The sequence below is a fragment of the Homo sapiens genome, chromosome 7 (genome assembly GCF_000001405.40).
Source record: "Homo sapiens chromosome 7, GRCh38.p14 Primary Assembly".
In the NCBI taxonomy this organism is placed as follows: Eukaryota; Metazoa; Chordata; class Mammalia; order Primates; family Hominidae; genus Homo; species Homo sapiens.
The window spans coordinates 63,137,055-63,156,801 of record NC_000007.14 but is presented as its reverse complement, the minus strand read 5'-3'; the positions used below and the strand labels follow the sequence as shown (position 1 = coordinate 63,156,801).

General features: G+C 39.9%; 1 pseudogene; it reads left to right on the top strand.

Annotated features, from left to right (window-relative positions):
- The window catches only part of SEPTIN14P1 (septin 14 pseudogene 1), a 29,233-nt pseudogene continuing 11,351 nt past the window's right edge, over window positions 1,866-19,747 (top strand).

Sequence of the window (19,747 nt, the reverse complement as noted above, 5' to 3'; positions counted from 1 at the left end):
CTGGCTAGAGCTGCCCCAAAAGTGGTGCAGGGGAATTCCCACAAAGGAGTACCCCAAATGGTCCGGAGATAGGGCTGAATTCCACAGGGCGAACTACTAAAATGCCAGGGTGATCAGTCCAAAGCCTTTATGAGGGAGCTTACAGAGTGCTGTGGCAGTCCTCGTGATGGACAGTGGGAGAAAAGAGATGTCCTATCTAGCTTTGTTCATAGCGAGGAGGTCAGGTTATGGAGTTTTTGTTTTTGTTTGTTTTTTGTTTCTTTGTTTTTGTTTTTTGTCAGATCACGGCTCACTGCAGCCTCAACTTCCTGGGCTGAAGTGATCCTCCCACCCTAGCCACCTGAGCAGCTGGGGCTACAGGTGCTGCCAACACACCTGGCTAATGTTTTTTTTTTAGATGGAGTTTTGCTCTTGTTGCCCAGGCTGGAGTGCAATGGCATGAACTTGGCTCACTGCAACCTCCGCCTCCCGGGTTTAAGTGATTCTCCTGCCTCAACCTCCTGAGTAGCTGGGACTACAGGTGCCCACTACCATGCCCAGCTAATTTTTGCATTTTTAGTAGAGACAGGGCTTCACCACGTTGGCGAAGCTCGTCTCAAACTCCTGACCTCAGGTGATCCACCCGCCTCGGGCTGCCAAAGTGCTGGGTTACAGGCGTGAGCCACTGTGCCTGGCTTGTCCATGGATTTTTTGAAAAATATGCTTTGAGCAATCTAAAACAAAAGCAGTCTGCCTAAAATTTATATTTATATATTTGTACTGTATTACAGATACTGATTTTGTGGAGCTATAATTTAATAAGATGTTTTAACAGTAATAAAACATTTTATAATTTTGTATATTGTTATTTTCTAAAAAGTTTATTTAAGTGCAAATGCAAAACACAGCAGTGATCATGTTGAAGCACTAGGAAAAAATGTTGTGGGTAAAAATTCAACCTCAAATATGCAACTATTCAACTTCCAATGTGGAAATTACATCTTTTTACAAAAGAATGAGTATATTTGTTTGCAAAGTGCTCTTACACACACATACACACATACACACACACACAGCCTTTAGACTGTGGTAATCAGGCTGGGTGCGGTGGCTCATACCCATAATCCCAGCACTTTGGGAGGCCGAGGTGGGCAGATCACCTGAGGTCAGGGGTTCGAGACCAGCCTGGCCAACATGGAGAAACCCCATCTCTACTAAAAATACAAAAATCAACAGGGTGTGGTGGCATGCCCCTGTAATCTCAGCTACTCGGGAGGCTGAGGCAGAGACTCGCTTAAACCTGGAAGGTGGATGTTGCAGTGAGCCAAGATCATGCCATTGCACTCCAGCCTGGGTGACAGAGCAAGACTCCGTCTCAAAAAAAAAAAATTCTTTTTAGGTGGCCTTTGGAAAACAAAATCAAATCTATCTGCAAACACATCTAGGTGGGGCAAGAGTGTGTGAAAATGGGACATTAATTAAGATTAATTGATGGAAAAAGTGATGGAAAAAGTAGAAAGACAAAATCTCTTCCATAATTTTGATGAAATGTCATTCAATTTGTCTTTAATCACTCAGCTTAATAAGAAAGTTGAAAATAAATAATTTACATTGTCCTACTATTTACATTTTACTAACTCCATATGTGTAGAGGTGTAAGGGATTTTTAAAAGAGCAACAAGGTTGAGACTTGTAAACCTGAATTTAGATAGAAGATGAATCTTCAAAAGTATTGATAACTTTGGAAAATAATTTTTAAGAAAGGCATGACAGCCAGTGATTATCTAGTTTCACAATTTGTTGTCAGAGTTTGTGAAGGCTTTACTATAAAAACTATAGGATGAACAAGGAATCCTTGATGCTGAGATTTTGTCTTTTGTCTTAATAGGTGAACATTATACCGCTGATTGCCAAAGCAGACACAATTTCTAAAAATGATTTACAGACTTTTAAGAGTAAGATGGGGGGAGGAGCCAAGATGGCCGAATAGGAACAGCTCCGGTCTACAGCTCCCAGCGTGAGCGACGCAGAAGACGGGTGATTTCTGCATTTCCATCTGAGGTACCGGGTTCATCTCACTAGGGAGTGCCAGACAGTGGGCGCAGGCCAGTGTGTGCGCGCACCGTGCGCGAGCCGAAGCAGGGCGAGGCATTGCCTCACCTGGGAAGCGCAAGGGGTCAGGGAGTTCCCTTTCCGAGTCAAAGAAAGGGGTGACAGACGCACCTGGAAAATCGGGTCACTCCCACCCGAATATTGCGCTTTTCAGACCGGCTTAAGAAACGGCGCACCACGAGACTATATCCCACACCTGGCTCAGAGGGTCCTACGCCCACGGAATCTCGCTGATTGCTAGCACAGCAGTCTGAGATCAAACTGCAAGGCGGCAACGAGGCTGGGGGAGGGGCGCCCGCCATTGCCCAGGCTTGCTTAGGTAAACAAAGCAGCCAGGAAGCTCGAACTGGGTGGAGCCCACCACAACTCAAGGAGGCCTGCCTGCCTCTCTAGGCTCCACCTCTGGGGGCAGGGCACAGACAAACAAAAAGACAGCAGTAACCTCTGCAGACTTAAGTGTCCCTGTCTGACAGCTTTGAAGAGAGCAGTGGTTCTCCCAGCACGCAGCTGGAGATCTGAGAACGGGCAGACTGCCTCCTCAAGTGGGTCCCTGAACCCTGACCCCCGAGCAGCCTAACTGGGAGGCACCCCCCAGCAGGGGCACACTGACACCTCACACGGCAGGGTATTCCAACAGACCTGCAGCTGAGGGTCCTGTCTGTTAGAAGGAAAACTAACAACCAGAAAGGACATCTACACCGAAAACCCATCTGTACATCACCATCATCAAAGACCAAAAGTAGATAAAACCACAAAGATGGGGAAAAAACAGAACAGAAAACCTGGAAACTCTAAAACGCAGAGCGCCTCTCCTCCTCCAAAGGAACGCAGTTCCTCACCAGCAACGGAACAAAGCTGGATGGAGAATGATTTTGACGAGCTGAGAGAAGAAGGCTTCAGACGATCAAATTACTCTGAGCTACGGGAGGACATTCAAACCAAAGGCAAAGAAGTTGAAAACTTTGAAAAAAATTTAGAAGAATGTATAACTAGAATAACCAATACAGAGAAGTGCTTAAAGGAGCTGATGGAGCTGAAAACCAAGGCTCGAGAACTACGTGAAGAATGCAGAAGCCTCAGGAGCCGATGCGATCAACTGGAAGAAAGGGTATCAGCAATGGAAGATGAAATGAATGAAATGAAGCGAGAAGGGAAGTTTAGAGAAAAAAGAATAAAAAGAAATGAGCAAAGCCTCCAAGAAATATGGGACTATGTGAAAAGACCAAATCTACGTCTGATTGGTGTACCTGAAAGTGATGTGGAGAATGGAACCAAGTTGGAAAACACTCTGCAGGATATTATCCAGGAGAACTTCCCCAATCTAGCAAGGCAGGCCAATGTTCAGATTCAGGAAATACAGAGAACGCCACAAAGATACTCCTCGAGAAGAGCAACTCCAAGACACATAATTGTCAGATTCACCAAAGTTGAAATGAAGGAAAAAATGTTAGGGGCAGCCAGAGAGAAAGGTCGGGTTACCCTCAAAGGAAAGCCCATCAGACTAACAGCGGATCTCTCGGCAGAAACCCTACAAGCCAGAAGAGAGTGGGGGCCAATATTCAACATTCTTAAAGAAAAGAATTTTCAACCCAGAATTTCATATCCAGCCAAACTAAGCTTCATAAGTGAAGGAGAAATAAAATACTTTACAGACAAGCAAATGCTGAGAGATTTTGTCACCACCAGGCCTGCCCTAAAAGAGCTCCTGAAGGAAGCGCTAAACATGGAAAGGAACAACCGGTACCAGCCGCTGCAAAATCATGCCAAAATGTAAAGACCATCGAGTCTAGGAAGAAACTGCATCAACTAATGAGCAAAATCACCAGCTAACATCATAATGACAGGATCAAATTCACACATAACAATATTAACTTTAAATATAAATGGACTAAATTCTGCAATTAAAAGACACAGACTGGCAAGTTGGATAAAGAGTCAAGACCCATCAGTGTGCTGTATTCAGGAAACCCATCTCATGTGCAGAGACACACATAGGCTCAAAATAAAAGGATGGAGGAAGATCTACCAAGCCAATGGAAAACAAAAAAAGGCAGGGGTTGCAATCCTAGTCTCTGATAAAACAGACTTTAAACCAACAAAGATCAAAAGAGACAAAGAAGGCCATTACATAATGGTAAAGGGATCAATTCAACAAGAGGAGCTAACTATCCTAAATATTTATGCACCCAATACAGGAGCACCCAGATTCATAAAGCAAGTCCTGAGTGACCTACAAAGAGACTTAGACTCCCACACATTAATAATGGGAGACTTTAACACCCCACTGTCAACATTAGACAGATCAACGAGACAGAAAGTCAACAAGGATACCCAGGAATTGAACTCAGCTCTGCACCAAGCAGACCTAATAGACATCTACAGAACTCTCCACCCCAAATCAACAGAATATACATTTTTTTCAGCACCACACCACACCTATTCCAAAATTGACCACATAGTTGGAAGTAAAGCTCTCCTCAGCAAATGTAAAAGAACAGAAATTATAACAAACTATCTCTCAGACCACAGTGCAATCAAACTAGAACTCAGGATTAAGAATCTCACTCAAAGCCGCTCAACTACATGGAAACTGAACAACCTGCTCCTGAATGACTACTGGGTACATAACGAAATGAAGGCAGAAATAAAGATGTTCTTTGAAACCAACGAGAACAAAGACACCACATACCAGAATCTCTGGGATGCATTCAAAGCAGTGTGTAGAGGGAAATTTATAGCACTAAACGCCTACAAGAGAAAGCAGGAAAGATCCAAAATTGACACCCTAACATCACAATTAAAAGAACTAGAAAAGCAAGAGCAAACACATTCAAAAGCTGGCAGAAGGCAAGAAATAACTAAAATCAGAGCAGAACTGAAGGAAATAGAGACACAAAAAACCCTTCAAAAAATCAATGAATCCAGGAGCTGGTTTTTTGAAAGGATCAACAAAATTGATAGACCGCTAGCAAGACTAATAAAGAAAAAAAGAGAGAAGAATCAAATAGACACAATAAAAAATGATAAAGGGGATATCACCACCGATCCCACAGAAATACAAACTACCATCAGAGAATACTGCAAACACCTCTACGCAAATAAACTAGAAAATCTAGAAGAAATGGATACATTCCTCGACACATACACTCTCCCAAGACTAAACCAGGAAGAAGTTGAATCTCTGAACAGACCAATAACAGGCTCTGAAATTGTGGCAATAATCAATAGTTTACCAACCAAAAAGAGTCCAGGACCAGATGGATTCACAGCCGAATTCTACCAGAGGTACAAGGAGGAACTGGTACCATTCCTTCTGAAACTATTCCAATCAATAGAAAAAGAGGGAATCCTCCCTAACTCATTTTATGAGGCCAGCATCATTCTGATACCAAAGCCGGGCAGAGACACAACCAAAAAAGAGAATTTTAGACCAATATCCTTGATGAACATTGATGCAAAAATCCTCAATAAAATACTGGCAAACCGAATCCAGCAGCACATCAAAAAGCTTATCCACCATGATCAAGTGGGCTTCATCCCTGGGATGCAAGGCTGGTTCAATATACGCAAATCAATAAATGTAATCCAGCATATAAACAGAGCCAAAGACAAAAACCACATGATTATCTCAATAGATGCAGAAAAAGCCTTTGACAAAATTCAACAACCCTTCATGCTAAAAACTCTCAATAAATTAGGTATTGATGGGACGTATTTCAAAATAATAAGAGCTATCTATGACAAACCCACAGCCAATATCATACTGAATGGGCAAAAACTGGAAGCATTCCCTTTGAAAACTGGCACAAGACAGGGATGCCCTCTCTCACCGCTCCTATTCAACATAGTGTTGGAAGTTCTGGCCAGGGCAATCAGGCAGGAGAAGGAAATAAAGGGTATTCAATTAGGAAAAGAGGAAGTCAAATTGTCCCTGTTTGCAGACATGATTGTATATCTAGAAAACCCCATCGTCTCAGCCCAAAATCTCCTTAAGCTGATAAGCAACTTCAGCAAAGTCTCAGGATACAAAATCAATGTACAAAAATCACAAGCATTCTTATACACCAACAACAGACAAACAGAGAGCCAAATCATGAGTGAACTCCCATTCACAATTGCCTCAAAGAGAATAAAATACCTAGGAATCCAACTTACAAGGGATGTGAAGGACCTCTTCAAGGAGAACTACAAACTGCTGCTCAAGGAAATAAAAGAGGACACAAACAAATGGAAGAACATTCCATGCTCATGGGTAGGAAGAATCAATATCGTGAAAATGGCCATACTGCCCAAGGTAATCTACAGATTCAATGCCATCCCCATCAAGCTACCAATGACTTTCTTCACAGAATTGGAAAAAACTACTTTAAAGTTCATATGGAACCAAAAAAGAGCCCGCATCGCCAAGTCAATCCTAAGCCAAAAGAACAAAGCTGGAGGCATCACACTACCTGACTTCAAACTATGCTACAAGGCTACAGTAACCAAAACAGCATGGTACTGGTACCAAAACAGAGATATAGATCAATGGAACAGAACAGAGCCCTCAGAAATAATGCCACATATCTACAACTATCTGATCTTTGACAAACCTGAGAAAAACAAGCAATGGGGAAAGGATTCCCTATTTAATAAATGGTGCTGGGAAAACTGGCTAGCCATATGTAGAAAGCTGAAACTGGATCCCTTCCTTACACCTTATACAAAAATCAATTCAAGATGGATTAAAGATTTAAACGTTAGACGTAAAACCATAAAAACCCTAGAAGAAAACCTAGGCATTACCATTCAGGACATAGGCGTGGGCAAGGACTTCATGTCCAAAACACCAAAAGCAATGGCAACAAAAGCCAAAATTGACAAATGGGATCTAATTAAACTAAAGAGCTTCTGCACAGCAAAAGAAACTACCATCAGAGTGAACAGGCAACCTACAACATGGGAGAAAATTTTCGCAACCTACTCATCTGACAAAGGGCTAATATCCAGAATCTACAATGAACTCAAACAAATTTACAAGAAAAAAACAAACCACCCCATCAAAAAGTGGGCGAAGGACATGAACAGACACTTCTCAAAAGAAGACATTTATGCAGCCAAAAAACACATGAAGAAATGCTCATCATCACTGGCCATCAGAGAAATGCAAATCAAAACCACTATGAGATATCATCTCACACCAGTTAGAATGGCAATCATTAAAAAGTCAGGAAACAACAGGTGCTGGAGAGGATGTGGAGAAATAGGAACACTTTTACACTGTTGGTGGGACTGTAAACCAGTTCAACCATTGTGGAAGTCAGTGTGGCGATTCCTCAGGGATCTAGAACTAGAAATACCATTTGACCCAGCCATCCCATTACTGGGTATATACCCAAAGGACTATAAATCATGCTGCTATAAAGACACATGCACACGTATGTTTATTGCAGCACTATTCACAATAGCAAAGACTTGGAACCAACCCAAATGTCCAACAATGATAGACTGGATTAAGAAAATGTGGCACATATACACCATGGAATACTATGCAGCCATAAAAAATGATGAGTTCATGTCCTTTGTAGGGACATGGATGAAATTGGAAACCATCATTCTCAGTAAACTATCGCAAGAACAAAAAACCAAACACCGCATATTCTCACTCATAGGTGGGAATTGAACAACGAGATCACATGGACACAGGAAGGGGAATATCACACTCTGGGGACTGTGGTGGGGTCGGGGGAGGGGGGAGGGATAGCATTGGGAGATATACCTAATGCTAGATGACACGTTAGTGGGTGCAGCGCACCAGCATGGCACATGTATACATATGTAACTAACCTGCACAATGTGCACATGTACCCTAAAACTTAGAGTATAATAAAAAAAAAAAACATTAAAAAAAAAAAAGAGTAAGATAATGAGTGAATTGATTAGCAGTGGCCTCCAGATATATCAGCTCCCAGCAGATGAAGAAACTGCTGCTCAAGCGAACTCCTCAATTAATGTAAGTTTCAGTAACAATATCTGACAAAGAGGCTATAAATGAGTTTTTATCCAGAATCCAGTGTGAAAATTTTTTAATTTTTTTATTTTGAAAAACTTCTTTTGAGAATTGATTCTTTGTAAACAGATTTATTTAGATTTAATTCATACACCGTGTTCCTCAAGGATATTGGCTTATAATTTTCTTCTTGGAAGTATATTTTCTTTCTTGGATATCAGGGGGATGCTTGCCTCATAGAATGACTCTGAAGGTGTTACCTCCTTTTTCTATTTTTTCAAAGAATTTGAGGATGTTTTATATTAAATTTTCTTTTAAAGTTTGATAGAATTCACTCATGAAGTAATCTGGTCCTAGGCTATGTTTTGGAGTTTTGGAAAATTACTTCTTTAGATTCTCTATTTGTTATCGGTCTCTTTAAGCTCTCTATTCTCCATTCAGTGTTGGTAGGTTATGTATTTCTAGTAATTTCACCATTTCTTCTAAGTTGTCAAATTGGTTAGTGTATAATTGTTCATAGTAGTCCCTTATAATTCTGTTTATTTCTGTAAGAAATAAACTTCTGTAATAAATTGTAATGTCTTCTCTTTCATTTCTTATTTTATTAACATATTCTCTCTTTTTGTTCTTAGTCTAGGTAATGGCTTTGATTTTGATTTATTTTTCCATATCAACTCTTAGCTTCATTGATTAATTTTTTTTTTGAGACAGAGTCTCACTCTGTTGCCTAGGCTGGAGTGCAGTGGCACGATCTTGGCTCACTGCATATCCATCTCCAGGGTTCAAGCGATTCTCCTGCCTCAGCCTTGCAAGTAGCTGGGATTACAGGAGCATGCCCCCACGCCTGGCTAATTTTTGTATTTTTAGTACAGACAGGGTTTCACCATGTTGACCAGGCTGGTCTCAAACTCCTGACTTCAAGAGATCCACTGGGATTACAGGTGTGAGCCACTGTGCCCGGCTGATTAAAAAAAAATTTTTATTCTCTATTTCATTTATTTATGCTCAATCTTTGTTATTTCTTTCCTTCTACTAATTTTTGGTTTAAGGTTTTTTTTTGATGTGTAAAGTTAGGTTGTTTATTTGAGATCTTTTTTTTGAGATGAAGTCTCCCTCTGTCACCAGGCTGGAGTGCAGTGGTGCAATCTTGGCTCACTGCAACCTCCGCCTCCCAGGTTAGAGTGATTCTCCTCTGTCAGCCTCCCGAGTAGCTGCGACTACAGGTGTGCGCCACCATACCCTGCTAATTTTTTTTGTATTTTTAGTAGAGATGGGATTTCACCATGTTAGCCAGCCTGGTCTCAAACTCCTGACCTCAGCCAATCCGCCTGCCTCAGCCTCCCAAAATGCTGGGATTACAGGTGTGAGCCACCACTTGTGGGCAAGATCTTTTTAAAAAGGATGTAAGTGTTTGCTACTATAAACTTCCTTTGTTTTTTTATTTTGGATTCAGAGGGTGTATGTGCACATTTATCAAATAGATATATTGCATAATGGTGAGGTTTGGTGTCTAGTGTACCTATCCCTGAGATAGTAAAACATTTTACCCAACAGATCTTTTTTTTTTTTTTTTTGAGATACAGTCTTGCTCTGTTGCCCTGGCTGGTGTGCAGTGGTGTGATCACATCTCACTATTAATAGATAATTTTTTGACCATCAGCCCCCTCCCAATCTCTCCCTTTTGGAGTCTCACTATCTACTGTTTCCATCTTTATGTCCTTGTGTACTCATTGTTTAGCTCCTGCTTATAAGTGAGAACATGTGGTATTTGATTTTCTGTTTCTGAGTTATTTTCACTTAGGATAATGGCCCCCAGCTCCATCCATGTTACTGCACAGAGCATGATTTCATTTTTTTTAATGGCTGTGTGGTATTCCATGGTATATATATACCACATTTAAAAAATCCAGTCCACTGTTAATGGACATTTAGGTTAATTCCATGACTTTACTATTATGAGTAGGAATGTAATACACATATGAGTGAAAGTGACTTTTTTATATAATATTTTCTTTCAGGTAGATGCCTAGTAGTATAATCACTGTGTCAAATGGTAGCTCTATTTTTAGTGCTTTGAGAAATCTCTATATTGTTTTTCATAGAGGTTGTGCAAATTTATAGTCCCACCAGCAGTGAATAAGCATTCATTATTCTCTGCATCCACACCAACATCTGTTGTGTTTGTAATAATAGCCATTCTGACTATGTAAGATGATATCTTATTGTGTGTGTGTGTGTGTGTGTGTGTGTGTGTGTGTGTGTGTTTGAGTCAGAGTCTCACTCTGTCACTCAGGCTGGAGTTCAGTGGTGTGATCTTGGCTCACTGCAACCTCCACCTCCTGGGTTCAAGGGATTCTCCTGCCTCAGCTTCCCAAGTAGCTGGGATTACAGGCACCCACCATCACGCCCAACTAATTTTTGTATTTTTAGTAGAGATGGGGTTTAACCATATTGGTCAGGCTGGTCTTGAGCTCCTGACCTCAGGTGATCCACTCACCTTGGCCTCCCAAAGTGCCGGGACTACAGGTATGAGTCACTGTGCCCGGCCTTTATTGTGGTTTTAATTTGCATTTCTCTGATGATTGGTGATGTTGAGCAATTTTTCATATGTTTGGTGGCCACTTGTATGTCTTCTTTTGAGAAATGTCTGTTTATATCCTTTGCAGTCTTTTTAATGGGGTTATTTATTCTTTGTTGATGTTGAGTTGTTTGTGTTCTTTGTAGATTCTGGATATTAGTCCTTTGTCAGATGCAAATATTTTGTTCCTATTGTGTAGGTTATCTGTTTACTCTGTTGATTATTTCTTTTGCTGTGCTCTTTAGTTTAAGTCCCATTTGTGTATATTTGGTTTTGTTGCATTTGCTTTTCAGGTCTAATTTATGAATTATTTGTCTAGGCCAATATCTAGAAGAGTTTTTCCTAAATTTTCTTCTAGGATTTTTATAGCTTCTGGTCTTTCATTTAAGTCGTTAATGCATCTTGAGTTAAAGTTTGTGTATGATAAGAGATGGGGATTCAGTTTCATTCTTTTGCCTATGGGTAGCCAATTTTCCCAGCACCATTGATTGAATAGAATGCCCTTTCCCCATGGTTTATTTTTGCCAACTTTGTCAAAGATCACTTGGTTGTAGGCATGTGGCTTTATTACTGGTTCTTTATTCTCTTTTCTTTCACAATTTTTTGTCCTTTTTTTAGCTGTATCCTTCCTAACAATGAACTCTCTATTCCGTTCCATTAATCTATCTATTTTTGTACCAATGCCATACTGTTTTATTTAGTATATAGCATTAGCACTATAGTATAATTTGAAGTCAGACACATGATGCCCCTGACTTGGTTCTTTTTGCTTAGGATTACTTTGGCTATTTAGATGCTTTTTTGGTTTCATATGATATTTAGGATCGCTTTTTCTAGTCCTATGAAAAATGATGTTGGTAATTTGATAGGAATTGTGTTGAATCTGTAGATTGCTTTGGTTAGTAAGGTCTTTGTAATGATATTTATCTTCCAATCCAAAAATTCCATAAATTTTTGGAACAGTTTCAGTAAGATTGATACCAGCTCTTCGTTGTACTTCTGGCAAAATTTGGCTGTAAACCCATCTGTTCTTGTTTTTTTTTTTTTTTTGTTTGAAATTACGTTATTACTCAGTCAATTTTATTGCTTGTTATTGGTTTATTTTGGGTATCTATTTTTTCCTGGTTCAGTCTTAAGAGGTTTTATGTTTCCAGGAATTTATCCATTTTCTTATTTTTTTAATTAATTAATTATTATTACACTTTAAGTTTTAGGGTACATGTGCACAATGTGCAGGTTAGTTACATACGTATACATGTGCCATGCTGGTGTGCTGCACCCACTAACTCGTCATCTAGCATTAGGCATATCTCCCAATGCTATCCCTCCCCCCTCCCCCCACCCCCCACCCCACAACAGTCCCCAGACTGTGATGTTCCCCTGCTGTGTCCATGTGTTCTCATTGTTCAATTCCCACCTATGAGTGAGAATATGCGGTGTTTGTTTTTTTGTACATGAAAAAATGCTCACCATCACTGGCCATCAGAGAAATGCAAATCAAAACCACATGAGATACCATCTCACACCAGTTAGAATGGCAATCATTAAAAAGTCAGGAAACAACAGGTGCTGGAGAGGATGTGGAGAAACAGGAACACTTTTACACTGTTGGTGGGACTGTAAACTAGTTCAACCATTTTCTTATTTTTTAAAGGAATATAAAACTATTATTCACCACTGTCCACCAGTATTTTTTTTTTTTGAGACAGAGTCTCACTCTGTCACCCAGGCTGGAGTGCAGTGGCTCGATCTCGGCTCACTTCAAGCTCTGCCTCCCGGGTTCACGCCATTCTCCTGCCTCAGCCTCTCCGAGTAGCTGGGACCTTTTTTACATCTTAATTTGTTATCTGAATATCTTTTTTGTTGAGGTGGCTATTTGGATCTTGTGCCCATTTTTAATCGGGTTGTTCATTTTCTTGTTGTTGAGTTCTAAGAGTTCTTTGTATATTTTGGACATCAGTCCTTTATCAAGTGTGTGTTTTACAGAGATTTTCTCTCAGTCTGCGGCTTATCTTGTTATCTTTAACAGTGTCTTTGACTACCAGAAGTTTTAGTGTTTTGTTTTGTTTTTTTCTGAGATGGAGTCTCATTCTGTCGCCCAGGCTGGAGTGCAATGGTGTGATCTTGGCTCACTGCAACCTCCCCCTCCCAGGTTCAAGCAATTCTTCTGCCTCAGCCTCCTGAGTAGCTGGAATTACAGGTGCCCATCACCATGCCTGGCTAATTTTTGTATTTTTAATAGAGACGAGGTTTCACTATGTTGGCCAGGCTGGTCTCGAACTCCTAACCTCGTGATCCACCTGCCTCAGCCTCCCAAAGTGCTGGGATTACAGGCATGAGCCACCACACCCAGCCCAGAAGTTTTAGTTTTAATGAAGTCCAACTCATCTATTCTTTCTATTCATCGATCATGTTTTCAGTGTTACATCAATGAAGTCATTGCTAAACCCAAAGTCTCCTATATTTCCTTTTATGTTATCTGTTGTGAGGTAGTGATGACTACCTGGACTGGTGGCACAGGCATAAAAGAATTTACCTTGTTGAGGCAGAGGTTGCAATGAGCCAAGATTGCACAACTGCACTCCAGCCTGGGTGACAGAGTGAGATTTTCTCTTAAAAAAAAAAGAAAGAAAGAAAGAAAGAATTTACCTTGTTGTAGGTAAGGAAGGTAGATTTATTAAAGAAAGTAGAAACATACATTGCTAGGGAGGCAATGGGCAGCTTGCAAGAAAGAAGCTGACTGCAAACCAACAAAGGATTGCTGGAGATTGTATAGGATAGTTCTTAGGCTGTATGCTGAAGAGGGCTTTGTATGGTGCTGATAATGCCAAGGTTGTGATGCAGGATTCCTCAGTCATTCTCAGCCAGGGACGTCTGGCCAGTGACATCCCCACCTGGGCCTTGCTTGGGCATGCTACCTGCCACACAGGAGGCTCCCCGTCCACTTGGCCCAGTCTGGCTTGCACAGTGGCTCAGCCTCCGGCTGGGCTATCATGCCCTAGCCTGCCTGTGTTATAGCTTCTACCTGAGATCGGCGATTCATGAGCTTTTTTCCCACATCCAAGAAGAATGAGGATACCCTGACAATTGAAGGATGAGGAAAGCAGAGAGGAATTTTATTGAGTGATGGAACAGCTTTCAGTGGAGAGGGGACCTGGGGGTGGTTTCTCTCCTTGTGTGGCTAAGCCCAGGGCTTTTGTGGACTCAGAATAGGGGAGTGCGTGCTGATTGGTTTGTGAGTATGCAAAAAGGTTAAAACAAAGGCACCACCCAAAGGTGGGCACAACTATGTAAAAAAAAAAAAAATTAGGAAGCATAGGTATATGTAAAACAGCTGAAGGGTGGGGATCAGTCTGAGGAAAGTGCACCAAGCAGGAAGACAGGTTCTCAATCCAGTCCATGGATTTGACTTGTAGCTTGGCTTTCAGGCTTTAAACTGTCTTTGGCTTGGAGGTGGGATTTCCCTGGGAACTTGCCCCTATCTGCCTAGGCATTTGTCCACCTCCTGCCACTATCAGTGGCAGTGACTTAACTTGCAACTTTTTGTATCAGCCAAGGGTCTACTGATACCTAGACACAGGAAGATTGTGAGTTATTTGTGCAGGAGGGCTGTGTGTTCTGGATTATGAAGAAAGGCATACTTGTAGCTTATCTGCTTTTTTTTTTTCTTTCCTCTGCTCCCACAAGCCTGACTCCCCTTCCCTAATTGGGACTCTACATTATCTTGTAAGAATTTTATCATTTTATGCTATACATTTAGGTCTATGATCCAATTTGAGTTAATTTTGTGAAATACGTAAGGTCTGTTTATAGATTCTTATTTTTGCATGTGAATATCCTGTTCCAGCACCATTTGTTGAAAAGAATATCTTTTCTCCATTGAATTCCCATTGCTTCTTTGTCAAATATCAATTGACTCTATTTGTGTAGGCATATTTCTGGGCTCTCTACTCTGTTCCATTGATCTGTTTGTCTGTTATTTTGTCCATGCCATGCTGTTTTAATTACTATGGCTTTGTAGTAAATTGTTGTTCTTCAGTATTGTGTTGGCTATTCTAGTTCTTTTGCCTTTTCATATAAATTTTGGAGTTAGTTTGTTATTATTTGTTTGTTATTACATATTATTTATTATTTGTTATTCACAAAATAATTTGGTGAAATTTTGACTGGGATTGTGGTGAATCCATAGGTTAAGTTATGGAAAATTGTCATCTTGACAATATTGAGTCTTTCTATCCATGTACATGGAATGTCTTTCCATTTATTTAGATAGTCCCTGAGGGTTTCCTTTTTTTTTTTTTGTATTTTTAGTAGAGATGGTGTTTCGCCATGTTGGCCAGGCTGGTTTTGAACTCCAGACCTCAGGTGATCCACCTGCCTCAGCCTCCCAAAGTGCTAGGATTACAGGCATGAGCCACCGCACCAGGCCTGTCCCTGATTTTTTCAATAGTGTTTTACAGTTTTTCTCATCTAGAACCACTATGAAAAACAGTAAGGTGGTGATATGGTTTGGCTGTGTCTGCACCCAAATCTCAACTTGAATTGTATCTCCCAGAATTCCCACGTATTTTTGGAGGGACCCAGTGGAAGATAATTAAAACGTGGGGGGCAGGTCTTTCCCGTGCTATTCTCATGATAGTGAATAAGTCTCATGAGATCTGATGTATGTATCAGGGGTTTCTGCTTTTGCTTCTTCCAATTTTCTCTTGCCGCTGCCATGTAAGAAGTGCCATTCACCTCCCATGACGCTTTTAAGGCCTCCCCAGCCACGTGGAACTGTAAGTCCAATGAAACCTCTTTTTCTTCCCAGTCTCAGGTATATCTTGATCAGCAGCATGAAAATAGACTAATACAGGTGGTTTCTCCAAAATTGAAAATAAAATTACCATATGATCTAACAATCCTCTTTCTGGGTATATATCTGAAAGAATCGAAAGTAGAGACTTACTTAGATATTTGTAAAGCATATAAATCACATTATTATTCACAGTAGCTGAGAGATGGAAGCAACCCAAATGTCCATCAACAGAAGAATAGGTAAGGGAGGTTTAACCCTGGACTCTGTATTTGATTCCATTGGTCTACATGTCTGTCTTTATGCTACTCCCAAACTATTTTGATTACTGTACCTTTGTAATGTGTTTTGAATTCTAGAAGTGTGAGATCTCTAACTTTGGTCTTTCAATATTTTTTTGGCTATTCAGGTCCCTTGGGATTACATTTAAATTTTTGGATGGGTTTTCTCTGTTTCTTGGCCTGTTTCCTCTCCAAGCCAAAATCTCTGAGACAGGGTTCTGGAATTGTGGGTGGAAACAATGGCAGGTTACCCCCCGACCCTGAAGCTTCAGGCACTTCTGGCAACTGAGAGCTCATTGTGGAGGAGCAGCAGTCTGAGGTTCTTTGGATTGCTTCCCCACACAATGAGCCACTGCCTCATGAACTAGGCAAGGTTGGTCAGGGCCCCCATCTTCTCTGTTTTCTGCATACAAGGAAGGGCCCCTATTTCACAAGTAGGTCTTGAGTGGTAAAAGGGAGCCTCCAACTCTCAAATGCACTTGCCAAGGACTTAGCCTCAAAAACAGTAGATGGGGCTTGGATGCAGAATGCTGTATTGTCTCTGGTTTTAGAATCAGGGCAGTAGTAAAGATGACTAAACTCTTTATTTGTGTAAATATTTTATGCTAGTAAATGCCTAAAATATTAGCTTAAAATTTGAAAGATGATTTTTTTTTGAGATGGAGTCTCACTCTTGTTGCTCAGGCTGGAGTGCAATGGTGCAATCTTAGCTCACTGCAACCTCTGCCTCCTGGATTCAAGCAATTCTCCTGCCTCAGCCTCCTGAGTAGCTGGGATTACAGGTGCCCACCACCACGCCCAACTAATTTCTGTATTTTTAGTAGAGATGGGGTTTCATCATGTTGGCAAGGCTGGTCTTGAACTCCTGACCTCAGGTGATCCACCCACCTTGGCCTCCCAAAGTGCTGGGATTATAGGCATGAGACATCATGCCCAGCCAAAAGATGATAAATTTTGAAAGTATATATATATAGATTTAGATTTCCATCCTAGCTTCTCTGCTTAAAAGCCAAAAGATCCTGAACAATTCACTCATCTTCCCTGAGACTGTTAACTTATCTATGCTATGGGATCAATGACATCTCTATTAAGGGTTTTTTTTTCTTGAAGTGTAAGTGTCAGGATCTGACACACGGAGTCTAGAATGTAACAGGTAACTGTAACTAACTGTTAATTCCATTTCTTCCATTTCTCTTTTCCTATGATTTACACCACCTTTATTTTAAGATACCTCAAACACTAAATAGATTTCTGAATTTAAATGCTAAGTACTGTAAAATTTAAAAAATTCTTTTGGCTGGGCATGTGGCTCACACCTGTAATCCCAGCACTTTGGGAGGCCAAGGTGGGCGGATCACCTGAGGTCAGGAGTTCAAGACCAACCTGGCCAACATGATGAAACTCGATCTCTACTAAACAATACAAAAATTAGCTAGTTGTGGTGGCGGGCGCCTGTAATCCTAGCTACTCCGGAGGCTGAGGCAAGAGAATCACTCAAACCTGGAAGGTGGAGGTTGCAGTGAGCCAAGCTCATGCCACTGCACTCCAGCCTGGGTGACAGGGTCAGACTCTGTCTCAAAAAATAAACATAATTTATTGAGACATATAGAGTATTGCTTATTAATACATTTTATATTGTATCCATCAATTATTATAATAGTGGTAGTGATTTTTAATATTTTGTCTTTTAACTTTTATACCAGAGTTAAAAGTTACTTGCATGTTATTTCTTCAACATTCAGGGTAAAGATGGTTCAGGGTGAAGATGGTTCAGGGTAAAGATAGTGTGAGAAAAATGATGTCTACTAAAAATCCTTTTTCTTTGTGTTTCCTACAGCAGGATACCTTGCTTTAGGCTCTGCTTAGTAGACAGTTTCCAATTGTGTGCACAGCCTGAGACTGATGCTGACAGAAACCAATTAGCGCATACTGTCAAGTCTTAAAATGAGACACAGGGTAGATCCCTAATTAAATTTATTACAATATTGTCATCGCTGTCATTTTTATAACAGGAGTGAGAGTAATATAGTAAGCTTTATTGGTGCTAGAGAATTCAATTCATATCATTCTTGTTTTCTAGGGACTGTTACCGTTTGCTGTGGTAGGGAGTATGGTTGAAGTGAAAGTTGGAAAAAGGGTGGTCAGAGGCTGTTACTACCCTTGGGGAGTTTTGCAAGGTAAATATGAAGGAGGGCAGACTCTGGAATGATTAAGTTAAATATATGTGTATCATTTGTAGTCTCAAAGTAACATTTTAAATTGAGCTAATATTGGTAACTCTTGCTAATCTGTAAGTTAACAATTACTAATGAGGAATGCAAACTCTGTTTTATGTAAATTAATGCTTACTGTGACAATGACTCATTCTCATAGAAGTCTGCTGAACGCTGCTTTAAGCCAAAATCTCCAGAGGCTGGGAAGAACCTCTTTGTTTATCCCAATGCTCCCAATGTGCCACGTGCATATTATCTGTCTTTGTATAAATTATGACATTGAGAATGCTGGAAAGCACTTTAAACAAAATGGAAGCAAAAATACTAGTGTGTAGATGTGTTGCATAAACTCATTGCTAGCTAATGTAGAAACCATTTTAAACTGGTCACTAGAAAAAAGAGTGATAAACTTTTTAAAACAAAGTACAATTTACCTTTGGCTAAAGATTATACCTTTGACATTTATATTATTATTTAGCATCATAATGAGTTAGAATAGTGTAGTAAGCAGTAATTTATTATCTTGTTCATATAGTTATGGTACTAATTATTGGGGAATGGAAGATTTCTACTTGTACTGGTTTCCAAATGATATTTTTGGTTTTTTTGTTTGTTTTTTGAGACAGATTTTTCTCTTGTCACCCAGGCTGGAGTGCAAGTGCCACGATCTTGGCTCGCCGCAACCTCCGCCTCCCAGGTTCAAGTGATTCTCCTGCCTCAGCCTTCTGAGTAGCTGGGATTACATGTGCCTGCCACCACACCTGGCTAATTTTTGTATTTTTAGTAGAGACAGGGTTTCACCATATTAGGCTGATCTCAAACTCCCGACCTCAGGTGATCCACTTGCCTTGGCCTCTAAAAGTGCTGGGATTATAGGCATGAGCCACCATGCCCAGCCCCAAATGATGTTTTTCAAAAAATGACATATTAAAAATTTTAAAATTTGTTAAACTTTTGTTTAACTTAATGTTTTAATATATAAACTTAATGTTTTAATATATATTATGTTGTATTATATATTAGTATGTGTTATAAAATATATATCTGTACTATATGTTGATGTATAAAATTTGGTCATAGTATTAATCACAATAAACCATATATTATCAATCTTCTGGACATGATAAACACAGGAGAGAGCCATACAAATTATTTTTCATTAATTAATCTTAATTGACAAATAAAATTGTATGTACTTATCATGTACAACATGATGTTTTGAAATACATATACATTGTGGAATGGCTAAATTGATATAATTAACATGTGTTATCTCAATTATTTTTGTGATGAAAGCTTAACATCTATCTTAGCAATTTTCAAGAGTATAAAATATTGTTATTAACACAGTCACTATGTTGTGCAATAGATCTCTTTAACTTGTTCTTATCTAACTAAAAGTTTGTATCCTTTGACTAACATCTCTCCTACTATACCCTCTACCTAACTCATGTAACCAGCATTCTACTCTCTGTTTCTATAAGTTTAACTTTTAAAAATTTGATATGTTAGTGAGATCATTTACTATTTGTCTTTCTGTGCTTGGCATATTCACTTAGTGTAAAGTCCTCTAGTTCCATCTATGTTGCTGCAAATGATAGGATTTCCTGATTTGTAAGGCTGAATAGTATTCCATTGCATATATATACCACACATTTTTTCTTCATGCATCCATTCATGGACACTTAGATTGCTTCCATATCTTGGCTCTTGTGAGTAATGGTAGTGTAGGTATCTCTCTGACATACTGACTTCATTTTGGGGAGGTATATATATCCAGTAGTGTGATTGCTGGATCAT